This window comes from Homo sapiens, chromosome 18 (genome assembly GCF_000001405.40).
Source record: "Homo sapiens chromosome 18, GRCh38.p14 Primary Assembly".
NCBI classification, from domain to species: Eukaryota; Metazoa; Chordata; class Mammalia; order Primates; family Hominidae; genus Homo; species Homo sapiens.
Window position 1 is genome coordinate 13,538,635 of NC_000018.10, and position 25,550 is coordinate 13,564,184.

Sequence of the window (25,550 nt, forward strand, 5' to 3'; positions counted from 1 at the left end):
CCACCTCAGCCTCCCCATTAGCTGGGACTACAGGTGTATGCCAGTATTCCAAGATAATTTTTGTATTCTGGAGTACAGACAGGGTTTCACCACGTTGACTGAGTTGGTCTCGAACTCCTGACCTCAAGTGATCTGCCCACCTTGGCCTCCCAAAGTGCTGGGATGACAGGCATGAGCCACTGTGCCTGGCCTTATGACTCTTACTGGGAATAAGCCTTCCTCAGGGAAGTCAGGCTCTGGTTAGGGCTTATGGCTCTAGAGTTTATCTGCTTAATGATGTCTTTGAAGAAATGATGAGTAATCTTTCTCTTATTTGTCCCTAGGAGGGAAATTAGGGTTAGTGTTTTTGTACCTCCTTGGCTCTTAATGAGAAATTCAGTTTCCTTTGGTGTAACTTTTGATTTTGGCTTTAATTCCCCTCCCCTCGTTACAAAGAAAAAACAGAGAAGTAGTTTCTGCCAAGTACTCTTTTTCTCAGAGTAGAGTGATTGCTTTTATAGGCTTGTTTGAGTGATAAAAGCTTGTTAGGAAATCATCTTTATGCCTTCCCTGCAATGCTTTATTTCGAGACCTCTGGGGAGACATGGGGTCCAGGAAATGGGTGGGGAGCATGTGACTGTGTGAGCGCAAGGACCCACGTCAGGGAGCAACTGTGTGCTTGTTTGAACACCAGCTAGCTGAAGGAAGAGGTTATTCAGGTAATTGCTCAGTCCCTAAACGTAGCTCAATTTCCTTTTGTTATATTTGCATAGAAAAAGAGCTGTTCAAGGGAGGAACCAGAGCACGAAAAAGCTAGTATTTCTCTTTTGCCAATAGGAAAAACAGATGCAAGCTCTTCTTGACTTAGTATCCTTCACTACAGAAAGCCCTTTTATGTTTTTGTGGATAAACATAGATTATTTTCCACCCCCTTTCCTCCTCTTTCAAGGTGGCTATCTGACTCCATGCACCTATTTAGTATTTATCACTGTTGTGATATTTGTGCTTTCTTATTTGCCCAAATGGGAGAAGCAAATGAAGTAGGTATCATGATCACTGTGTCTTGGTGGGAGGAAAGACATGACATCTGAAATTAATGGGACTAATGTAAGGATTGATATTTTCATATTTGCTCAATTGCATCCTGGGTTAAGCACATTCAACAGGTAAAGAATTCACTGTCTAATTATAATTCTTCTTTCAAAAAAGAAACCCATAGTGCATAAAAAAGAAGTGTAACCAATGTCAACACTGGAAGGGAGAAACAGGTGCTGGCAGACAAATGTCCTGACATGGGGCCACATTGCTATGCCTTGGGCTGGCTATGGCCACCTGGGTCCTTGAAGACCACTGTCAGCCCACAGGCAAAGTCCTGTAGGCCCTGACACCCCCAGGGTTGGGGCCGATGGAGCCAGGGTCACCCGCATGCCAAAGCTCCTTCTGGCCCAAGAACAGGGAAATGAGGAAAGTCCACAGTCAGAAGTTACGCAGCCAGATGCCAGGGAGGTTGAGTAAAACAGAATATTTTGTTTGGTTTGTTTTCATGCCAAATCTTCCCAATTTATCTGTGTTTGTCTTTTTTAAAAAATACAAGTTTTAAAAAAACTAGCAAAAGATATGGGCCAAGAAATTGAGATCCCCGTAATTCTTTGTTTAGTCTGTAAGGCAGAGTACATTTGCATCTGAAATTAAATGGCCATTGAATAAACACAGGGACTCAATATTTGTAAGGGCACTAATGTTTGCAGATGTCTGCAGTTGTTAAGGGCAAGCCAAGGAAACAGGAAATGCTGGGACTCATATTTTTTTTCTGGAAGAAATGGGCATTCCAAATGCATCCTATATAACCTTTTTTTCTTCTTCTTCTTCAGGTACATCCATAATAGTTTCTGAAAGGTATTCAATCCTGGTGGAGAGCTGGAGATGTGTTTATGCTGGGGGTTGTTAAATATATTTACAGCCTTTTCAGAGAGTTCCGTGGGGGTTCGTCAGTGGTTATTTATTAGTCTGCTTCAACATCTGCTGGCTGGAAAATAATCTGTCCAAGGCAATTCACAGGAACATTATAAATTGCTTCCGATTATAATGAGCAGTAGGAAAGGTAATTTGAGGGAAATTCCACGCATGTTAGTTACAGCGTGTCAGAAGCAAGATCTGGTGTGAAATGCCCAGAGAATCAGTGTCTGCTGATAACAGTTATAAGATGGAAGGTTCTGGGTGTCTCGACCGTGTTTTTCTTCCTGTCTCACTTCTGGGCTTGCTGGGCAACTTGCCTGCTTGCTGGGGTTCTTTGGAGCCTGTGGGCACCTTCATGTGGGCACTGAGCAGAGCCAGCCCTGCCCCTTCCTGCAGGCACTGCCAGCGGTCCCTGAGTGGAGGTGGAGGTGGAAACCTTGAGTGTTGAGGCCCCTGGGGGCTGCTGCATTCTAGTTTCCAAGACAGAGTCTGCAGAGCTGTGGCAACCCTCAGAGGCCCACACACACCTCCAAAGCCAGCCCGACCCCGCAAGGCACTCTCACCGGGGTATAAATTGGTGCTGCCATTTTGGAAGACATTGGAGGAAAACGCAACAAAATGTAAAATGTGCAGACCAATCTCCTCAGCAGTTTAGACCAATGACAACAATAACTATTCAAGGACACTCATTGCAGCAGTGAAATGCGTGGTCCACTTTAAGTTGCTTATTATAATACTGAAAACTTGGACTGACATTAACCAGTGCCAACAATAGGGACTTGGTTAAAGAAATTACAGAAGGAAATTCACTCTATACTGTTCAGTGGAAAACAATCAGTGAGAAGCATTTGCTCATATATGCAAAAGGGTGTGCACACTTGGGTGTGTGTACCGAGATTACTGGAAGAACAGTGTGAAGAGTGGTCTCCTCAGGTGGTGGGAGTCCCAGCTTCCTTTGTGAGACATGAGCATGTGGAGACTAGAACTGGTCTTTCTCATAGAAAGACTGTTGGTTCTGGTGTTCTGCACTCTGCACGTTTCTACTAATAATTAAAATACTTACTGCCTCTGAGATGCCTCCGGACACCCTTCTGAATCACAGTGTTCAGAAATGCTCTCTAAATCAGGAAGGTGTGGATGACCTTTGGACCTTCCCTGGTGTGAGGAGTTTAGCACACTGAGAGTAATATATGAAAAAGACCGCCAGGCGTGGTGGCTCACACTTGTGATCCCAGCACTTTGGGAGACCAAGCCAGGAGGATAGCTTAAAGCCAGGAGGATAGCTTAAGGCCAGAAGTTCGAGACCAGCCTGGACAACATAGTGAGATGTTGTCTCTACAAATATAGCCCAAAAAAATTAGTGGGGTGTGGTGGTACATGTCTATGGTCCCAGCTACTGGGGAGGCTGGGGTGGGAGGATCCCTTGAGCCCAGGAGTTGAAGGTTGCAGTGAGCTGTGATCATGCCACCGCACTCCAGCCCTGGCAACAGAGTAAGACCCTGATTCTAAAAAAGGAAAAAGGTCACTCTCTACTCAAGTTCTACTTATATAACAGCAATGCAGCTCTCTTCATAAAGCTGGCTGTTGTGTAGTTTATGTTGGGGAATCAGTTCATGGTTTAAAAAGTTCTGTCAATGCAGAGAACAAGCCGGTGTGTTTTATGGAGAGGCTGTTTAATCTCCACTGTGAGACAGTAAATATTTGGCTGTTGCATCATCGTGAAGCTTATGATCACAGTCTGGCGCCATCTCCCTCCTTGCCTGGAGTCTGATCTGTCCCGGCCCAGTGTCCTCCAGGACCCTGGCCCCTCATGCCTCCGTGCTTGCGCGTGTGCCATTTCCTCTCTCCAGAGGACCTTTCCTGCCTAGGACTCATGATTGTCCCCTCCCTGGTAAGCCATCCCCGACCTTCCAGGCAGAACCTGCTGGCTTCTCCTCAGCACTTTGCATGGATTTCTGTCACAGTCCTGGGTGCACTGTGTCGCCCTCTCTATGTGTCAGCCTCCCGTCCCCTACCGTGGGCTCCTCCAGGGAGGTGTGGACATTCATCCTCTTCCAGGCAGCCCTCAGGAATCCAGGGAGAAGATAAGGAGGCGGGGCGGGCGGAGGTGGGTGCTCCACACACTCAGAACACTTTCCTCTGCACTTACTTCATTCTGGTTTTTCTTTTGGGTCCTTGGTGTTTTTAAATAAACCCTTTCCTGTAGTTTGCTCCCCTTCCATGGAGGGCTGTTTCGAGCACAGATCTGCTGGGTGTCTGTATTTACAAAGAGAAGGGGCCACTCGTGTGTGAGCAGCACCGAGGGACAGAGGTACCTTGCCTGCTTGTGTCCCCTCCAAGTCCTTCTGATATTTTCCTTTCCAGCTGTTGCCTAGTTTCCTGGTATTAAGGAGAATCAACTCTCTGGATAAACGTGGTAAATATGGCCCATAGTCCCATCTTTTTACAGGCATTTTTTACACCTGGAGCAGCCAGAGGACGCATGCATGGCTCTTCGGAAGGTAATTTAGGGATCACCCATGTAAGTTTCCTAAGGATTTCTTTAACATGGTTCTTCTGATTCAGTCCGGCCAATTAAATCTAAATCCACCCCTGAAAGCCATCTGGTGTGGATAACAAGCCCACAAATGAGCAGTCAGCTTTTTGTGCCCTTTAGGGCCTGGGACAACCACGGGATCTAAAAGGGGCTGGAACTAGAGGTCTTGAGCTCCTGTTCCTAAAATCATCTTCATCCTATATCTGCAGCCTTCTCCTGCCACGGCATGCACCCACACATGCGAGCCTCCCGGGTACTGTCATCCTGAATTCTGAGACCATCCAGCACTTCCTTTAGTTTTGCCCTGGTGCTGTTGACTTTTGTTTACTGAAGAGTGTGCTGGAGGCAGGACAAGGGACATGGAAGGCTGCAATTTAAGAGTCTAAAAGGTTTTAGAATCCTGAAGGAGGTTTAACAAGCTGAATTGAAGAATAATACCTTTCTCAACTGGAGAGAATTTACATGATTGCATTATTGTTAAAATTAACATCTCATCTATTAAAAGCATTTGTAGATTATCTTTGTACCTTCACTTTCTTTGTCTGCCTTACATTAGGTCTCAGAGGTAGATTGGTGGAGTCACCTGGAGTTTGTTGGTGACTTGGGGTTTGGCTGGCCTGTGGAGTCAGCCAGACTCTAGCTCTGATCCAGATTCTGCCCTTTATCTCCTCTGTGCCCTTGGGAAAGTCAGTGAAACTTTCTGAGCCACAGTTTCTCCAATAAGGAAAAACGACCGCCAACGGGGCTACCTGTTGAGCCCTACCTCCAACAGGGCTGCTGGGAGGATTAGCCAAAGAGATGTCTGTGAGGGAAACCAGCACAGACTCTGGCATGGAGTATGTACCCGGGGATACCAGGACGAGGCCTGCCCCGAACGTGCAGGCCCACATACGTGCATACGTGTGGACGTGCACATGCATGCACACAGTGTGCACACAGGGTGAGGCACCGTGAAGCTGAGGCCGCACTTCTGGGCTTTCAGCCTTGGCATTGTGGTTTCCATCGCTGGGCCTGCTATGAAGCCACGCTGCTTTTCAGAAATACCTTCAGAAATGAGATTGGGAAACTTTAGTGAAAAACGTGTTGATTGCCTGAGGCACTGCTCTGCCTCCGGGCTGTTTTCCTGGAGTGTGATTTCCCCGTCAGAGTGCTGCAGTGGGCCAGGGACTTGTCTAGGGTGCCATGGAGGCACAACTGTTGATTATGTTAATAGGATAAACAAACCTTCTTTGACACCATAAATAGCAGACGCTGTGCTTTCCTCCCCACCTCCTGGGCAGGGAAAATATTTGAAGCTGGAAGGAATTGAGCCCTGAGCTTAATACAGTTACAGACCCAGAAAGAAAACAAAGATGGGTACAAAGATGTGTTTTCAGGAGACAGAAAATTGTGAAATCAACCCATCAGTCGGCCCAGGACTGGCTCACCTTGAGTGGCTCCTGGTACAGTGACTGCTGTGGATGGCAGCCTGCATGGTGGATGGGAAAGCGGAGTTCGTGTGGGAGACAGAGCTCTCGCGAAGCTGTGCTGTTTTCTCTTAAGTAGGCTAGAATGGAGGACAACTTACAGGTAGACCTAACTGCAACCTGTTGACAGTGAAGCTAAAGTCCGAACACACCCGTCACCTTTCAGAGGACAGACAGAAGCCATCTTTATAATAGTGATTTTGCACAGACCAAGGAGAGGCTAGGTCCAACCGTTTCAGCTGCCGCCAGGAAAAAGGGTCCAACTCCCTGGAGCACATCAGAAGGTTAGACGTCATGGCAGGTGATGGTTTGTCTTTTTTTTTTTTTTTTTTTTTTAATGTGCTCCTTTTATTTTCCAAATTTTCTAAAATGAACAAGTATTACTTTTATAATTGAAAGTATTATTAGAGAAAACATACATTAAACTTTCTTAGAATGTAAACATCCACTGTGTGAAGTCAGTCCCAAAGTTTTAACGGCCACGCAATCTAGCCTTATCCAGTGGTGCTCCCCAGAAGGTCCTCAGCTGAGAGAGTGGGGTGGTGTTAGTGGCCTCCTCTTGATGGCCCAGCTGATTGCAGGGGATCTCTGGGATGCTGCTGATGGAGTACCTGGGAAGATGGCTCCAGGACTCTGAAGGGCTGCGTGTTTTTGATCTTGCTCCCCGAGCCCCAGCCTCTTTGACCACATCATTGAGCTGCGCACGTTCAGGGCAGACGCCTGGAACTGGAGAACTCTAGGGAAGCAAAGGGGACTCCTCGGGGACTCTGATCTTTATGTCCAAGTTATATATCAACGAATCCTTTTGGCAACACCAAAATGTATGGTGAGCCCTTAGTTAAAGTGTGGGAAAACATGAAAATGATCAAATATGAAGTTTGCAGATTAAGACCAATTCAATGGCCCTCCATTGACCAGCGAGAGAATCATCCTGTGTCATCTTGTCTTGTCCTGCTGGGATCCACTAATGGCTTTCTCCTTTATGGAGTCCTGTGCTGAGGCCAGCAGTAGCTCTGGTTACTCTTCCACACACACACCTTCTTCTAGCAGCCGGCCATGAGCAGTGCGGTTTCTTAGCTGCAAACAAGCTGCGGGAACTGAGGAGGGTGGGAAACTGGCGGGGCAGGAAAGAGACAGGAGATGTTATGGAGCCAAGCAAGCTAATTTATGACACCAAGCATACTCAGTGCCTGCTGTGCACAGGTCACAGTGGGGTGGAGCCTTCCAGGGGTGGAACATGTAACCACAGCTCAAAAGTCAGGGAAAGCCAATGGGGCAGGATGGAGGCTGGGAAGGACCCAACAGGTGAGAGTCAGTGGGCTTCATTTGGGAAGTCATAGTCACAGAGCTGTCCTCAATCCTAAGCCAAGAGGGAGTTTCTTAGCAGCAGCAGTGAAGGATAGGGTCGGGATGCAGTGTTCATAACTGTGGGATCACAGGCCCATTACCTTCCCCCTCTGGACCTAAGTTCCCTACCTGTGAAGTGAGAGCCTGAGGCTGTTCGGGATTAGGGCAGATGGTTTAGCCCCTGCTTGGTGGGGAGTGGGTGGTAAAAGTCAACAACAGTTGAGGCAGGGGACTGGGTTTATGTTCACAGATGGAGAGATGGGTGCATTCAGCCTGGACCCAATGGCTGTCACTCATCAAGTGGAAGGTCAAGGGGTAAGGGAGGGGAGTTCAGTGAAGCAGCTCTGCCGGGGAACCAGCAGGCCAACTCCACCACTAACTGCTGCTCGGGAGTAATTTGTCTAACTGAAGTGGCTCAACAATAAAAGATTGAAGATGGCCTCCCCTCCCCCCTCCCCTCTTGCTTGCCTGACAGAGTCTTGCCCTGTTGCCCAGGCTGGAGTGCAGTGGTGCAATCATAGCTCATAGCAGCCTCAAATTCCCAGGCTCAAGCGATTCTCCTGCCTCAGCCTCCTGAGTACCTGGGACTACAGGTGTGCACCACCATGCCTGGCTAATTTTTGCATTTTTTGTAGAGACAGGGTCTTGCTATGTTACCCAGCCTGGGTGGTTTTTTTTTTAAATACCACACACTACTGCCATGTGATGTCACTGAATAACACTGGTGGAATTACTCAGTACCCTGGCACAAAAGTAGTCCGTGTGTGCAGGGAACTTCATGCAAGCTCATTAGGCCTGATGCTGTCGGGCACGTGGTTCCCCCATCCGCCATCCCCACTTTCTCAGCTTAGAGAAAGCGGTGATCTCTGAGGATTCTGTCGCTGACATCAGTGAGGGGCTTGCCAGATGATGAAGCGGCACAGAAAGGCAGTGTCTCTGTTAGGTTATGAAATAGCCACACAGAAAGCCAGTTGGCTTGGAGAGGGGGTTTCACTGATCTCCCTTGACAGAGGAGTCCCCTTCTTTTTCATTTACAACACTTGAGATGAGAACATTTGACATTTTGGCTGGTGAGGTGACACTGCGCAGCTGTTGTAATTTTTGCCATCTTGAAATTTATTGATGCTAGATAAGATTGCAGTGGGCCCCGATGTTGACAAGTAGAGCTCTTGTGCCAGTGAGAATTGTGCATCTGTCTTCCTTTGTTAACCTGCTTTCTGTTACTGACTTTATTTCCATTAAGTCATCCTTTGAGGTAGGAAGGAAGAAAATGTACCACTTCGTCATTTACTCGAGTAGCATCCATTAGGGTCCAGTGATTTTAAAGTTACAGTCACAGATTCTGGGCTTCTTTGAAAGCTAAAACTATTTGAAAAATTAACTTTCTGCACAAGCTACTTGAGAGTAAAAACAATGTCTTAAACTTGTTAGATGATCCACCAGTGTCTAACTTTGTGCGTCTGCTGTATCAGTGTCACAGGATCCTTAGGGTGTTGCTTCACCCGCTGGAAACCTTGTAGCCGGTGGCACCTTTGACTGAGTTTTGCTCAGGCCCACTGGGCTCGTTCTGCCCACTCGACCTGGCAGGCTGCACTTGGCTTTCAGTCCTGGCCCAGATCCCACACCTGTCAAGGGCGAGCCAGGTGCAGAGTGGCGAGGGGTGCATGAGTGAGTGAGCGTGGAGTGTGGCCACTGTACATGGCCAGGCATGCTGTCTGCAATGGGGTGGGCAGCTCCTTGCTGTGGCTGGACCAGGCATACCACAAGCGGCTTCCACTGTGGACACCGGGGAAGATGGTGGTGCCCAGAAGTTTGGAAATGCTAGGAAGTGCAGAGCCCCAAAGAGGGTGTCACAGCCCTGGCTCAGGGAGCTCCTCCTATGTCTGGGCTCCCCAAAGGGCTGCAGCTTTTCTCTCATTCTCTCTTCTCTCCTTCTTGTCACCCACAACATGGCAAGCAGGAGGGTGTGTTTCAGGCCTGTTTGTGTTACAGCTCTTTCAGTCCCACCATTCAGTAGGTCCTGAGTTCTTGTCCTGCATCCAGAAGAACGAGGTACCCAGACAACTGGAGGGTGAGCAAGTCAAAGAGGTGCTTTATTGAGTGACAGTATAGTTCTCATGAGTCCCGAGGTGGGTAGCTCCTATCCACAGGCAGGTCATTCTGACAAATGCAGCTCTCAGCAGAGAGGAGACCCAGAGTGGGTGGCTCCTCTCTGCAGGCAGGTCATCTTGTCATCTGCCTGAGTCTGGCTGAGTCTGGGGGGTTTTATGGGCTTCAGAAGGGAGGAAGTAGATGCTGATTGGTCCATAGGCAGCCATTGGCAGGCCTGGAAAAAGCACCGTAAGTTCTCACTCTGGCCAGAAGGTGGGGTTAGTCACCAGGGACCTGCCCCTTTCCACCCAGGAGCCTGTCTGCCTCCTGCTGCTGTTCATGGCATTCATGGCGCCCAGGCTGTTGGTGCCAAGGGGTGCCTGCAAGCCCAGGCTGAGCCACTTTCAGCACCCCCTTGGCCTCCTTCCCCTGCTTGTTGGCACCCAAAGTCCAGAAGGGGCCAAGGGCAAGGGGCTGGGATGTCAGTGCCACTCCAAGTATGTGCACACCTGGTCAGGTCGTAATAGTGCCTGGGCTCAGCCACAAGTTTGCTTCAAAATTGGAGTGGGTGCTGGGAGTGGGGAGAGGCCAGGCAGTGGGAGCAGGCACTTCCAAGCCTGCTGGGGCACGGGGTGGTTTCTGGGCCTCCAAGAGTCCAGGGGTGCAGGGATGCCCATGTCCACAGCTGTGGCTGGGGGGCTGCAGCTATGCCTGGGAGAGTGGGGCTCCTGCCCCACCAACTTGGAAAGGGTTAGGGCTCCCACCTGTTCCTGGCTCCTGCCTGCTCCAGGGAGCACACGGCCCCACCCATGCCTCCCCTGCTGCAGCCAGCATCATGGCAGCGGCCATTCTAGACAGGCCATTGCTGCCATCATTTGTACCTAATAAATATGAGATGGGATAATGCAAGGAATACTTTTTTCATTTTACCATCTCAAGATGGGGAATCTATTAATTATTTCATGAGTCCTAAAGCAACTTCTTGAATATTCAGCTCCCCAAAAGCAAACAGCTACTTAGCCTAGCTGATTCTACAGGGAGTTGCATTTCGCTTTTGTCACAAATGGATGCTGGTGTGTGCCTCACAAAGTCATAGTTGCATGTGGTGTGGGGGTGGGCTGGTTGAGATGGCATTATGATGTTTCAGAAAAGCTGTGTAAAGATGAGAAATATTTGCATCCAGACACAGAGGGAGGCACCATGCCAGCATGTAATTTGCCAAGCTCCCTGCTGGCAGTTTAAATGCCCTGTTGATTTTATTAAACATTCTTAATAAGAAGTTGGAGTTTTGTTTAGGCTAAAACCATAATGAAAACAGCTGTCTTCATTTCTCAGAAACAGTGAGATTGTGCAAGGATGAGGAATCACGCTGGATAGTGGAGCTGCCATGGTCCCCAGCTGGGGTGCTGCCCATGGAAGGTACTGGGGATGTCCATCAGGTGCTTCTGGGAAAGGGCCCAGGAAGACCAGACGGTTCTGTTCAGTTTATTTTATTCACGGAGGCATTTTAATGGGAGAACAGATCTATAATTGTGTTTTAACATTGTCTGAAAAAGGGAACTGAATCTGAGTGTCTGAGCTGTGAGCGTGAAACATAGAAAGGCCGTGGCTACCAAGAGCAGAGGACAGTGGGTTCTGCTGGAAGAGGGAGGAAACTTAGAGAACAGACAAAGAGTTAAAATTAGCCCTGGCTGGACCATGTGTGCCGTAGACCAGCAGCACCCTATGCAGCTGGGGCAGCCTTATTTTAGTCTGTCCAATTTTAAAGCTTCTGGCATTTGGTTGTCTTGCTTCCTTGTTTTTTCTGGGGAAGCCAGCAGCAGACAGGTCAAGAAGGCAATTTTGCCATCAAACAGAACTAGGTTCAAATTCAGGCACCACCGCTTTAGAAGCCAGGGAAACTTGGGCAAGAGTCTTCATTTCTCTGAGCTGCATTTCTTCTGTATAATGGAGATGATAATTCTGCCTCGTGGATTCTTCTGAACTGCTGCCATCATCCGACTAGCATATTTTAATCCAGCAACGTTTTTCTTTCTTGGAGCATTGGCCACGTGCCCACACAGGAAGAAAGCAGACACAGTTGCTGTCTACAAGGGGGCAATGGGCTTACTATCTACTTAACATAAGACTTGAAAACAGATTACCACAACATGACAATGTAAGTTCTATCATGGAAAAGGGTTCCACCAAAATGTTATAGTGGTCTTGGAGGGAGAATAAGGGGCAGCTTCATGAGGAATATAAAAACACAGAGCCCTGAGCTGACAGACACACACTTCACATGTAATAGGCAAATGGTTTCATTCACAGAATTGTTTCATTTCTGTGGAGGGAAAGCTAGCATAGGAAAAAAACCTTCAACTGGTTGGTGTTACGCAAATTATGATGGATGAAAACAAAATTCTTGAACCTGTCATGGGTCTGTGGAGAGACGTAATACTGGGAGCTGCAGAGGGCTCGGAATAAGTCAAAGCTCGAGGGGCTAGAGGGTGTCTGGACGGCTTACATCATAAACACATGCTGTGAGAATGAGAAGGCGTCCCTGAGGACGGCCAGGAGGAAGGCTCAAGGCATGAGTGCTGGCGATGTTGATGCCATCAAGACGATGAGTCCCGCCGAGCAGCCTTCCACAGTGGGTTTAGGAAATGGCAGCCTTGGGAGCTGGCCCCTGCCAAAACGTAAGCCGAGGAAGATGAGAGGGGCCTGGCTGACAGCCCTCCGGCCATCCAGATCTAGGGGCGGTGGAGAGAGCCTGGGAAGAGCGAGACTCCAAGTCCGAGTCCCGCTGTGAGTGGTGTCCAGAACCTGGCTCCAAGTCCCTTCCTCTGCGAGCAGGCAGGGCCGACTTCTGTTTGGGATGTCCCATTCTTTGCCTCCCTTGGGCCCCCTCCTATGAGTACAGATGCTGTCACCGTGGGCAGAGATGGCTGGCCACACCACCCTCCAGTCATGCCCCCTCTGTGCTCATTCTCATCACCCAGCCCAGGGGCTTGACCTCTGCCTCTGGGGGATAGCAGAGCACTGGGCCCTTCTTATCTTCCGTGTGCCTCCCCAGCAATTTTCTATGCATCTCTAAATTACACCCCTACGGCCAGTGCCACTTCCTAACTCGCCTCAGGACCCACTGTTTGACTTCACCTCCAACGGCCACGAGCAAAATAGTGTCATCGGGTGCCAACAGCAACCCTCTTTCTTCCCACCCTCAGCAATGTGGGGGCCTTTCCGACAGAGCAGCAGCGAGGGTCCCCCACAACCCTGGGACAGCTGTGCTGACCTTCCTATCAGGGCCACCTTGTAGAGACATCTTGATTAAGTGCTCCTGTTGTGTGTCCTACCGAGGATCTGTTTTGTTTTTAGTCTGTGCACAGGCTCATTTGGCCCATGCTTGTGGGCCAGAACTGCTTGTTGACACAGAGCAAAGAGTGAATCCTGCCAGGCTGCCGAGGCCTCGGCTGTCCCAGGGCACGTGTGATAAAGCTGAGAGCAAGGAGGTACTCTGAGAGCTCTGGTTTGCAGAAAGAGAGAAAAGACAGGATAGATGAAGAGTAGCCAAAACTCCGTAGAACTGGGGGGAGTTACTGAGCAGACAGGATGGCATCACAGAGTGTGCCATGGTGGGGTAGGAGGGCGGCCAACAGGGACAGAGGAGGGTCCTCTGCCAGGGAGAGAAACAGAGGGAATTTGGGGGAAACCAGTTGCAGACATGGGCTGAGAAGACCCTGACCTGCCATGAATATGGGCCTATCAAGTGAGCAGGTGTTCGTTCTTTTTGCACTGCTACAAAGGAATACCTGAGGTTGGGTAATTTATAAAGAAAAGAGGTTTATTGGGCTCATGGTTCTGCAGGCTGTACAAGAAGTATGGTGCCAGCATCTGTTTCTGGGGAGGCCTCAGGAAGCTTCCACTCATGGCATAAGGCAAAGGGGAGCCAGTGTGTCACATGGCAGGATGGGGAGCAAGAGGGTGACAGGGAGGTTCCAGTAGCTTTAATAACCAGATATCCTGTGAGCTCATTACTGCAGGGAGGGCACCAAGCCACGAGGGACCCACTGCATGACCCAGACACCCCCCACTAGGCCCCACTTCCAACACAGAGGATCTCATTTCACATGAGATTTGGAGGAGACAGACATCCAGACCATATCAGTAGTGTGAACAATGTGAGGCACAGTGGGGTGCAGTGACCACCTAGGCCTGCAGCTCCCAGCGGCCAGCCAGGTTGAGCATCTGCATCCTTTAAACTGTCCACCAGCCCTTTCCACGACACCGTGCTTCCTACTTGCTGGGGCAGTGCAGACAGATTGCTACTGATGTCATCGAATCCCAGGGCTGCTGGAAGGCATGCCTGCATGTCACTTCTTTCAAGGCACTTACGTTTTATGCCTCCCGATCTCCTCTGCCTTAGCTGGACCTGGAAGGACAGTGCACTATCTCTAGACCTGGGCTTATGCATCTTTGAAAATGCCTTTAAGGTTCCCTTAGCTCCTGAGGGTTCAGCTTCTGCCCAGCCAGTCACGATCCTTCCCCCTGGCCTCCTCTCTGGTTGCTGGTGCAGTTTGATTGTGCCTTTGATAGATGGCCAGGGCTCACCCTCCTCCCTCCACTTCCTAACGACGGGGAGAGGCTGACGGCTGAGGTAGTTCCTAGAGGACTGTGACTCTTCACTCTTTCTTCCGTGTTGTATCCCGACTTTAGATGATGCTGTTCTAGACAGTACAGGGAAAGTGATAGAACCTAGAATCTGTCCGTCTCCCTCTTCATGGGCCACCTGAGTAAGTGGGTGTGCACGGTTCTTTACCGAGCTTCAGTTTGGGATTGCCTAGGGATCTCCTTTGCCTGGCTTTATTTCTCTCTTGTTAAGAAAAAGTCAGAGTTTGCTGCCCAAAAAAGTTCCTAGAGTTATTATTGGTTAGGTTGAAATTAACCAATAATCATTGTATCTGGTTCATTTACTTCCTTTATGATGTTGCTCATTTAAGACTTTACTCATCCTCTGCGTATTTTTAAGGAAGGATCTGAAAAATGATAAGAGGTTAGTATTTTGTTATTTTATATTTTTAGTAAATGTGACATTCTAGTTGAGACTAAATATGTACAGACATGGAACAGAGTTAAAAGTGTTTATGAGTGGGAAATAGATGGAAATAAATAATAAAGACTTATAGCTTGTGATTTGTTCAGTATCACTTAGCAACATCAATATTTTTGTCTACAAATAAAGGTCTCCTGTTTGGTACATGTTGAAAATATTTGTATGCTTGCGTGTTTGTGACCTTGTGTACACATCATCTCCAGCAGAAGGATCATTTTGGTTGTGGCTGGGTTTACAGTACTTAATTTGGGTGTCTAGACACTGGTTATAGTGACAGAAAAACGTCTGAAGATGTGAGACGAGATTTTGAAGAATGGTGTTCTTAAAATATGTCTGTAAACCGCCTCTTAACACAGAAATAAATTAAATTACAGAGTTAGAAAAATCCTAAATTAAAAGGATGTGTTTCTTCTAAGATAATTATTTGCGTGATTTGAAATCACTTTTTCCTTATCAGAAGGTGAAACATGATGTTCCCTGAGCTGTGCCGAGAACAGGGAGTGATTCCCATTAATAGCTGTGGAACTTAATTAATCTTTAGTTTTCTGACACCTTTATTTTCTAGTTCTTTCCTGATGCGGGCTTCCTGGCTAACCTCCATTTCTACTGCTGATAACCGCGTCTGTCCTTCGCATGGAAACATTCGCCTTGCCCTGGCACCCTATGTTGTGCTGTGTGTTTTCTACATGTTCCCCCCTTTACTGTTCATACATGAAGCAATCTGGATTGGCCTTGCGAGCGTGTCTATGACCTAGGAGAGTAATGTCAACCAACTGCCCCTTTTGTCAGGTGGAACCGATTTCCCTGAAATTCTCATCTGTGCAGTTAATTAGTGAGTGACCTCCCCATCCAAGGCTCTCTGAGTGTCTCTGTGTAGCCCATTTTTAACTCTCAGTATGTTTTATTTCTTCTAATTATTCTAGTCACATAGCATTTAATCACATGATCCCACTTTTGTCTGCTTTGTGTTTGAATAGATAATGGAATGATCGTACTTTCTCTGCTTCCCTGGTTCCTGATACACAGTAGGCACTCTGCAAATAGTTATTGAGCCAACAGATCAAGGAATACTTCATAAGAAGTACAAGCATTAAAAATGTTTTTATATTCACCTTGTTTGCTAAAGTTCAGTTGTTTCAACTAAAAATATAATTTTCAATATAAAAATATTTTAAGTTATGGCCAAAGTCCAAAGTTAGCCCATAGCAATGTATGAAACTCAGAAGGTAACTGACTAGTTGTTTTTACGTGTTTTTCTAGGTGTCAAGGGAGTCAAATGAAACAAACTAGTTGTATATTTTGGTAGTGCTATTTTAAGCATTTACCTTAAAATGTAGCTTTAAATGGAGCCTTTTCTGTTAATATTTTTTTTCACCTTTATGTAGTCAGGTCTCATGTGTAAGGGTTGTGTGTTGCATGTGTAGACGGCATCAGCATCTACCCCTGGCTCTCCGTATGAATACCTACACACCTAAGACTCGGGGTCCAAAGACATTCTCAAACAGATCTTCACAATTTTTTGCTACAATAACCTATTGCCCTTTAATAATATTTTATTTAGGGAATACTAATATTCAGGAACATTATAGCAGAAATTATTTTAATACCTTTGACCATTAAAAATAAGATTTTAATGATATTTCCACTCTCACGTTTTCAAATGGTAATCTGTAATTTATGTAGACACTCTGCCCTCAAAGAGGGAGCCTAACCCTGGCTCCTGACATGCGGACTGTGCATTGTGATGCCCTTCCACATGTACAGCATGAAAGGAGGAAAGAGCAGCTGTATGGTAGAGAAACCTGACAAACACTCCAGGTGATCACGCCAACACTGACGTTGGCGTTACAGTGCTATAATGTGCCGGAAGTGACACTCTACCCTGTGGCCCTCCTCTCCCAAACCCTTAAAGTTAGTCTAATCATGAGCGAAAACAGCAGACAAATCCCAGTCAAGGAGAATTCTGCAAAATACCTGATTGTTATTCCTCAAACTTGTCAAGATCATCAAAAACAGAGTCAAAGACACTGTCACAGCCAAGAGGAGCCTAAGGAGACACAGTGACTAAAGGTGATGAGACATCCTGGGTGGGATCCTGGGACGGAAAAGGGACATTAGGTGAAAACGCAGAAAATAGAAATAAACTATAGACTTTAGTTAACTTTTTAAAAAGATAATCAGCAAGAGGAAAGAATGTCATTCAGTGGAACCATTTAACCTCAGCACTATCTTTCTGCAGTAGTTGGGGATACATTTTAAGTCTGATTGCAAATAACACAGAAGTAAAATGAGTCACAGCCTACCTTCTCCCTCCTTCCCCTCATCTCTTACTCTTCTTTTTCTCTTTGTAGAAATGATTCAGCTGGTTTACTTTTGATTAAAGAGCTTATGTTCTCTTACCTATGGAATTCAATATTAGATAAATTGTTGATTTTCAGATCACTGTTTTCATTGTAAAATGGGCTAGAAAATGCAAACTATAAGTGTCTATTATTTGTTATTTAGCCCTATAAGGCATATAGCAGTTGCTACCCTAGGGTGCAAAGCAATGTGATCAGTTGGTTTTTGAGTTGAAAAATTACATGGTCTATCTCATTAAGTAAAGCCAGGTGTGTCTCAGAGAAACTCACTGTAATTAGTCAAAGACACAGAACTGCAGATGGAAAGAAGTTTATAAAGTATATAATAATTAAGGTATAGATGAGGAATAATTGGGACTTCTTGGATTATTACTTAGAGCTTGTTTGGGAGTTGTATTATTTTCTAAGAAGGCGGGAAAGCAGTTTGTGTGAATTATTCTTACCTTATTTTTAATAGCTTCATTGGTGTCTTCCTTGCAGCTTATTATAGAGAGAATGTGAATCTGTGGTAAGCATTAGATTTATTCTCCATCTAGCATGACCCAGATGGTAGTTTTGGAATGCATTCCTGCCCAAACTACTCGGAGTCACTGAGATTTATGATTTGTGAACTCATAAATTGGATAAATAAAACTCATCTTCTACAGCTTCAGTGTATGTTATTTTCTAGAGTTCATCGTGTCTGGAAACTTGATTTCAGTTAAGCTATGTATTAAGTACTTGGAATTTCTGAGTCTATTGCATTGTTGTTTCTAGGAGAGTGGGGAACTTTTTTTGGTGAACAGAGCTTACCTTCTTGTGACTGGTCATTGTCATTTCTACATGTTATCAGGAGGCCCTAGGGCCTTGCTGGAACAAGTACTTCTGAGTTGACAGAAATTGGATTGCTATAAACTCTGCTTTCAAGAGCCTTACCATCCAGTGAAGACACATGATTACCTGCAGTATATCTAAGTCTCTTTAATTGTGTGAAATTCATGGGTGAGGTTTAAGGTGGGTGCACAGGGAGAGTGAGGCTTGGTGCTTGGCTATGCCCGAATCCAGAGAGGCTTTTATAAAGAAAAATCATGAGCCCAGATCAAATAACCACATAGACCAAGGAGAGAGAAATAACTTCTGCCTTAGAGAACAAGGAAAGCTTCACAGAACAGGGAGTACTTAAGCCTGGTCTTTTGAGGATGATGTATTTGAGGGAAAGGGAGTGTCCATGGGTAAACAAAGACTTGCTAATGGGATACACGGGAATATGTTTGGAAAAGGCCATGATGGGGAGTGGTTGTCACTGGTTGTCCTTGTCCTTGTGCATCATATCAAGGGTATGTAGTTTAAACGTGATTTATAACTGCTGATGGTGACCTTGATCACCTGACTGAGGTGTATTAGGTTTCCTCACTGTCAAGTTGCTCTTTTCCCCCGTCTAAAGAGAACCACCCTTTAAAGGGTGATTAATGCTTTATAAAGGGTGATTAATAGATATTAGCAATGCATGGTGATGAAAACCAAGCTTGGACGTTACAGCACTTTCATCTGGCTTAAGGAGATAATAAGCACGGCCAGGCTCAGTGGCACACACCTGTAATCCCAACACTTTGGGATGCCAAGGCAGGAGGATCACTTGAGCCCAGGAGTTTGAGACCAGCCTAGCCAACACCGCAAACCCTATCTTTACAAAATTAAAAAAAAAAAATTAGTCAGGCATCATGGCACATGCCCATAGTCCTAGCTGCCCAGGAGGCTGAGCCAGGAGGATCACTTGAGCCCAGGAGTTCAAGCTTACAGTGAGCTATGATCACAACACTGTGCTCCAGCCTGGGTGACAGAGTGAGATCCTGTCTCAAAAGAAAATAAGCAAAAAACTAGACTTTGTCTTCACTTTGAACATGATCCTAACCTAAACTTGACCTTCTCAAACACTAGTGCCTAAGGATGGTTTCTTTAGACAAAGCCTTTTTTTTTTGAGATTGAGTCTCGCTCTTTCGCCCAAGCTGGGGCGCAGTGATGCGGTCTTGGCTCACTGCAAGCTCCGCCTCCCAGGTTCACGCCATTCTCCTGCCTCAGCCTCCCAAGTAGCTGGGACTACAGGCATGCGCTACCACACCCGGCTAATTTTTTATATTTTTAGTAGAGATGGGGTTTCACCGTGTTAGCCAGAATGGTCTCGATCTCCTGACCTCATGATCTGCCTACCTTGGCCTCCCAAAGTACTGTGATTACAGGCGTGAGCCACCACAGCCGGCCTAGACAAAGCTTTTTATAGGGAGACGAGAAATTGTTAAGAAGTGAGCTAAGAATTGTAAAACACTTAGTATGTGGCATTGTAATATATGTGTTATTGTCTGTTGTTACCATCATGATCATCACCATCATCACGTGCATTGAGTAGCTGAAGAACCTCGATACCAGACACCAGTATGTCCAAATTCTTGATGCCCAATCTCATTATTTTCACTTTGAATTTGAATTAGAAGTAAGTTGTTAAACAGGAACAAAATCTAATCATTTTTTCAAGGTACAAAAAAATTCCACATATTGAAATATAATGAATGGTTTTGCAAACTTTGATTGGCACTTTAAAAGGTGTTGGAGTAGGGCGCTCTGGGAAACTGCCTATTGATTGCACTGTTGTCAGTTTCTAAGCAACCATTGCCAAATTTATCTTCATGTCACACAACTTGTGTGTTTATCCAAGCTGGTTGAAATTCTTACCCTTGTGCAAAAATAGACCAGGGTGAATATTGAGTGGGACTGTATCGGAGGAGTGGGCTGCATTCCTCCATAGTTCCCAGTAGGTGTCACTCTGGCAGAAGAAAACAAGACATGATGGGTTCTGAAGACACATCCCTGGGGATCCGCCCAGGCCACAGGGGCATGCAGAAGCACCACTTGCCTACCTCAGTTCCCCTATTCGTACCCGACTTCTCTGGCCAGCAGGGGCAGGTTGCCCAGGCCACGTGGTGAAGAGCATTCCTGGAAAACATTGTTCTAGACCCACCTGGCTACAGACATCCCAGCTTACTCATAAAGCATTAAAGCAGTAATAGAGGAAGAGCTATATCTATGTAGCTGTAACCCGAAGAATTGGCAGCACTTGCTGGGATATGGGTAGCAAATTTTTATTCCTAGTAGGATCGGCACATGTATGGCTCAGTCGTAAATGTTTATCAGCTAGCTGAACGAGTCCCACGAGGACTTCATGTGTTTCTGGGTAATCTTCCATAGGAGTTACTGTTTACTCAGAAATGCAAAATAATTTTGCTATTAGCCAGTGTAACTAAGAAAAATTTTAAAAAGTATGAAAAATATAAAACAGTAAGAAAAATATAAAATATGAACACCCAAAGAGAACCTCTGCCACCATTGCTTTCTGTTAATAGGTGATCAACAGTAAGCATTACATAACCTTGAATTCTCCCACCCAGCCCTCCCCCTGCCCCTCTACAAGAGCAAGTCATCGGGGGCCACCCTGTGCACTAGGGCAATCACAGAAGTGGGAAGCACACCAGCTCCCCAGCTAATGCGACTCGCAGGCACTGAAGTACTGTTACTGTCACTAGACGTGCCACCGGCAGCACCCCAGAATGTAGTACCCCACTGGCTGCAAGACCAGCATTAGATAAAAGTAAGCAGGGAGTCTCGATGGATCACCACTGATCTTTGGTATCTGTAAAGGTGTCACTGTCTCTTTAAGGAAAGAGGGAGTCCCTACTTTCATTTTTCCTCAATAAATAATTTTTGACTGATTAGTGACAAAGGGACACTTTAGTGGGTGATCAGCACAGCATCTGCATGGCTGCTTCCTTGTGGGGTTTCTGAAGCTGCTTCTGTGACTCAGCCCCTCACCAACAAACAAACAAATGAGATAAATCCCAGAGACCTGGAAGAGGGAACCTGCCTTGAAATGGCATTCATGGAAAAGGTCTGGACACTTCAGCCAAGTTATTTGTATAATTTGTTAGTTACATATAAGGCCCAATATGCTAAAAAAATGCAACAGGATTATTAGTCTCTATTTGTCTAGAATTGAAATTTCTAAGTAGGTGTGTGAATTTATATGGGTATGTATCATATATATGTGTATGTATGTACATATACACATGTACACATATATATGACAAATAGCTTACATGTATATATACATATAGAAATGCAAGTATATCTGTGTACATATGTATGTATGTACATTTTATATATGTATATATATACATGTAAGCTATTTGTTATTTCTTCTGTCTAGAGACCAACATCACACTCCCTGAGAGTCAGAAAACTGGGTTCAGACAGCAGCTCTGCAAATGACTTTTCCAGGACATTCGCTAAATCACTGCCCCTCTCCTGGACTCAGTTGCCCATGGAGGAGTTGGCGGGAGATCTCTGATGCCTCTTCCAGTTCAAAGACAGCACAGCTGGTACACAGCCTCTGCTTGTATCCAGACAGCACTTTGCTGCCCCTGACCAAGAAGTGCCTATCTTCAAACCAAGATGTTGGTCTGCCGTTGCATAATCAACAGGGTTGGGCGTTACTACCTAGCAACAAGGAGTCCCTAATCCAGGGCCTTTGCTCTGATAGCTTTTGAGTATTATATGGGTACTTTTTAGCTTTTGGATTAATTGGTAGCAGAAAAAGTGGAACTCTAGTTCCTGTCATGCTTTTATTTTTTTCTTTTTTTGATTTACATTGTTCAGAGCAAATATAGAAACCATGGAATTATTTTCAGGGAATTGAAGCCCTAGAGGGTGTCCCCCTGCTTTTGGGTCTGTTGGCCTGAGCCAACCCCATCCTCAAAACACCCCAGGTGAGACTGCTGAAGGACGAATGTGCACAGCCCATGTCACAAGGAGTCTGTCCGGCTGCTCACCTTTTCTCTGACTTCTGAGCAGGTGTTTGGAAGCTGTAGGTAATGGCCCAATCTCAGAGCCCAAGGGGATTCGGGTCTTTCCCCTGCAGACTGTGCTGCTGTCCTTGGTTGGTCCTTGAAGGGACCTGCATCGTACCTGAGGCTCTGTGCCAGTGGGGATGACGGGGGCTGATGTCTCTTCCCATGGGCTCCTATGGATTTGCCCTTCAGATGACCTGGTAGGGCTCTGAGTGACTGACTTAAAGACCTTCATAACGCCAAAGTGGCAAGATTTTGGAGACAGATTTGTGTCTCCTCATCCATGATTTTTGACTTTAATCTTTTCTGAGAAGACCAGAAATCAGAGAGTTTGTCTTCTCAGCCTCTCTGTGAAAGGATCTGCTGAGCTCAAGCTTCCCTTTTCAGCGTCAGCTTTTTAAGTTGAGAATAATAATTAAAGAAAACTCCAATCTCAATTCCAACATCAAGTGTCCATGAAGCTGTAGTTGTTGCTGTGGCTGAGAAGAAAGTAGAGAACAGAGTGCAGACCTGCGGTTGAAATGACTCTTGGAAGGGCTTGCAGGTGACCTGGGAGCTAGCAGGTGCCTAACACTGTGGCTCTCTTGGCACAAAACAACTTCAAGCCTGTGTGAAATAAAGGAAAACCAGGAGCCTCGTTCTGATTTTTATGGAGACACATCTGTGTGACCTTAGGAAGGTCTCCCAAGAGCTCTGGGTTTGTTTCTTCCCCTGTGAATTGGCTTATGATGTGTCACTTGGCCTTACAGGTATGTAAAGCTCCCCAGTTACCAGATCTTACTGTCTCAGGGAACATCCTGCAGATATTCAGGGCCCACACTGGAGCTATTCTTCAGGTTCCACGTTTGAAAGGTTGAAAGGCGTTAAGAGCGTGACATGAAATGAGTGGGTGAATTTATTTTTAGGAAACAATATATAGGTAATTAGTTTTGGAAATGGGCTTCCGTTAACTTATCACCCCTTACTCTTTTCTGGGGCATCATCCAGTTATTTTTCCTCAGTCATAGAATTTGGGGCTTTTGAAAATGTCTCTTCGAGAAATAGACACACACCTTGCAACTCCTTAAGATCTTGCCCTTGTAATTAAATTTTTGAGCACCATTTTTATATAGGAGTAAATGAGATAATTAAGAGATATTTCAAGAAAGAGAAGTATATGAGAAAATAAATGGTTTCTGCTGCGTGATTAAACACTGCAGCTGAGACCTTGATGAGCAGTCATTTGTTGGAAGTGTACTTCATCATCGGGAGTGGTGTCCTGATTATCGTTCAAGAAACATGTTGGGAGAAGGCAAAGACGGACGTGATGACACCTGTGCAAAGACGGACGTGATGACATGTATGCCGAAGCGTGTCTTGACTCAGTGTAGGATTGATACCAACATCTCTTGGATGTTGTGGGATATGGAGCATTAAAATATACAATAATTTATGCTAGTGGTGCAGTGTAATGAGGACTTGCTGTGAATCTCAAATCGATTTCGGAGAAGCTGAACCTAATGTTTTCCTGATTGTCAAACCCTCCAGTAATGATTATAAATAACCACTGTTTTCTTTATATTAGAGAAAACCTAAAAGAAAAACCAAACATGTTCAACAATGAGCAACAGTACAAAAGAAAAAGTACAAAGTCTAGCATATCCAATAACAATTATTAGCTAATTAATTTTACTTGACCACCTGGTGTTGGAGGCATCCCTCTCCTCTCTGGCATGGTAGAGTGAGAACTTCCTGGTCCTATAGATCCAGGCCCAAATCGTGGTCCTGACTCAGTGTTTTTAAGATAATGTGTCCTTGGACAAGTTGCTTGATGTCTCTGAGTTTCCATTTCCTCATCTGTGAAAGGTGATCATCACACCTGCTTTTATAGGTAGATGTGGCTTGCTGTGAGGGTAAATGACAGTGCAGCTGTGTTTGGTAGAGGGACTGTCATGGAATCACCATCCTTGATCCCGGTGACCCAGACTGGCCACCTTGAGGCTTTGAAACTCTCAGCCAGCTCTGCCAACCTACATCAGTGAGACCTCAGCCTGCCTCGTTTCTCCACTCCCTTAACTAGGTCCATTACTTTGAAATTTGTTATCAATGAATTTGTTTACATTTTTTAAATTTTAATATATTTAATTGACAAAGATTGTCTCTATCCTGTGTATACAATGTGATTATTTGATACATGTATATACATTGTGGACTGATGATGACAGTCAGGCTCACATGTTCACCACCCACGCGGTCCGTCAGAGCCTCAGAACTTGTTCATCTTATAACTGAAAGTTCGTACCCTTTGACTAACATCTCCCCATCGTCCCTAATGGCCCAGCCCCTGGAAACCCCCATTCTACCCTCTGCTTCCGTGAGTTCCACTTTTTTAGATGCAACATGTGAGATTTAAAAAAATATCCAGTGAAGGCTGTCGATGGGACATTGATGAACCTGGGGGCTATGTGAGCTCTGGGCTGGCGCCTACCCCTCCCACCCAAGGAATCTCTGCTTCCCGGGCTGTGCCCTCCTGTGTGATCTGAAGTAGGGAAGTGGTATACTAACTTTTGGAAACATTCAGCTGCCAAGTTTCCTCTGCTGCAGGCTTTAAATAGATCCAACTGAGAAAGGAAGGTAGAGCTTGAACCAACTGCCACCCTCTATATAGAGACGGTTGTCGCCTGGTCTAGTGTAACAAATAGAGTTCTTTGTTAGAAGAGGAAAGAAACTTAACCCCTCATTTCCCATTTCTGATGATTTAGGGACAGACCTGATGGTTTACCAAAGATACACCTGAAGCTTTACTATTTCTTGTCACTCTATATTTTTTAGTAAAACTTATTTTTATCTTTGGAGATGACAGGCATCTTTGTTTTAGGGATAACTAATTATGCCTGTAGAGAACATGAGCATGTTCACAACCCCCAATTAATCTTTAACCCAGAATCCATAGAGCGTTTTTTAGGCTGACAGTTAGACCCAGTTTAATTGTGGATGGATGGTAGGATTCCAGACACTTCAGATGAAAATCCATCCAGCCATGCCTGTGGATGCCCCTTGGAAGGAGGTTGGAGCTTGGGCCACTGAGAAGGTGGATATTGCATGTCCTGACTCCCCAGATCTGTTTACACAACAGCGATTTTCCGGATAGAGTAGCACAAGGAAGGAAGTGAAAGGGGGATAGTCTTCATTTGCGGAGGGTGAGTCTAGGGAGCAGAATGGACATGTTCTGCAGCTTTGCCATGTGACTCCTTTCAGCACAACAGAAAACATACAGGGCACAGAGCTTCCTTACTGAATGCCTCAATGGTCACGACATTAATGCGTCAGCAGGACTGGAGGATGGCAGCTAGGAGTGCTGATAAACGGGAGGCTCCGTCCTTCTCATACATCAATAAACACTTAAGTGCCTGGCAAATGCCTGGCCCCACGGGAGATGTAGAAGCCACAAGACCGACCCCTGTTCTCAAGGATCTTTAAACAGATGGCCTCTAAAGGCCCCTCAGTGATTCTTGAGCTATGGTTTAAACCCCCACAGCTAGGTTAGAGCTGGGCCATTTTCTTTTTAAAAAATTATTTTTATTTTGCTATTATTTACATTTTTTAAGAGAGTCTCTCTCTCTCTCTCTCACCTAAACTGGAGTGTGATGGTATAATTATAGCTCACTGCAGCCTCAACCTCCTGAGCTCAAGTGGTCCTCCCAACCCAGCCTCCCAAAGAGCTGGGACCACAGGTATGCACCACCACACCTGGATAATTGTGGTTTTTTTGTAAAGATGGGGGTCTCACTTTGTTGCCCAGGCTAGTCTTGAACTCCTGGCCTCCCAAATTGTTGGTATTATAGGCGTGAGTCGACAGGCTCCGGCATA

At 45.9% G+C, this 25,550-nt stretch overlaps 1 protein-coding gene across 48 annotated transcripts in view, besides 7 other annotated features; it reads left to right on the forward strand.

The window, feature by feature from the left end:
• LDLRAD4 (low density lipoprotein receptor class A domain containing 4) overlaps positions 1 to 25,550 on the forward strand; it is a 435,073-nt gene that overhangs the window by 320,953 nt on the left and 88,570 nt on the right. The window lies entirely within an intron of this gene.
• Positions 3,254 to 3,777: an enhancer, noted in NCBI's record as "H3K4me1 hESC enhancer chr18:13541887-13542410 (GRCh37/hg19 assembly coordinates)". NCBI's record gives its function as "activates a minimal SCP1, AML or CMV promoter by ChIP-STARR-seq in primed H9 embryonic stem cells {active_cell/tissue: H9 hESC(primed)}" and the evidence as "EXISTENCE:reporter gene assay evidence [ECO:0000049][PMID:30033119]".
• Positions 3,778 to 4,299: an enhancer, noted in NCBI's record as "H3K4me1 hESC enhancer chr18:13542411-13542932 (GRCh37/hg19 assembly coordinates)". NCBI's record gives its function as "activates a minimal SCP1, AML or CMV promoter by ChIP-STARR-seq in primed H9 embryonic stem cells {active_cell/tissue: H9 hESC(primed)}" and the evidence as "EXISTENCE:reporter gene assay evidence [ECO:0000049][PMID:30033119]".
• Positions 9,411 to 10,360: an enhancer, noted in NCBI's record as "H3K4me1 hESC enhancer chr18:13548044-13548993 (GRCh37/hg19 assembly coordinates)". NCBI's record gives its function as "activates a minimal SCP1, AML or CMV promoter by ChIP-STARR-seq in naive H9 embryonic stem cells {active_cell/tissue: H9 hESC(naive)}" and the evidence as "EXISTENCE:reporter gene assay evidence [ECO:0000049][PMID:30033119]".
• Positions 11,624 to 12,125: an enhancer, noted in NCBI's record as "H3K4me1 hESC enhancer chr18:13550257-13550758 (GRCh37/hg19 assembly coordinates)". NCBI's record gives its function as "activates a minimal SCP1, AML or CMV promoter by ChIP-STARR-seq in primed H9 embryonic stem cells {active_cell/tissue: H9 hESC(primed)}" and the evidence as "EXISTENCE:reporter gene assay evidence [ECO:0000049][PMID:30033119]".
• Positions 19,788 to 19,887: an enhancer, noted in NCBI's record as "active region_13117". NCBI's record gives its function as "activates an Ori minimal core promoter by ATAC-STARR-seq in GM12878 lymphoblastoid cells {active_cell/tissue: GM12878}" and the evidence as "EXISTENCE:reporter gene assay evidence [ECO:0000049][PMID:35858748]".
• Positions 23,836 to 23,885: an enhancer, noted in NCBI's record as "active region_13118". NCBI's record gives its function as "activates an Ori minimal core promoter by ATAC-STARR-seq in GM12878 lymphoblastoid cells {active_cell/tissue: GM12878}" and the evidence as "EXISTENCE:reporter gene assay evidence [ECO:0000049][PMID:35858748]".
• Positions 23,936 to 24,355: an enhancer, noted in NCBI's record as "active region_13119". NCBI's record gives its function as "activates an Ori minimal core promoter by ATAC-STARR-seq in GM12878 lymphoblastoid cells {active_cell/tissue: GM12878}" and the evidence as "EXISTENCE:reporter gene assay evidence [ECO:0000049][PMID:35858748]".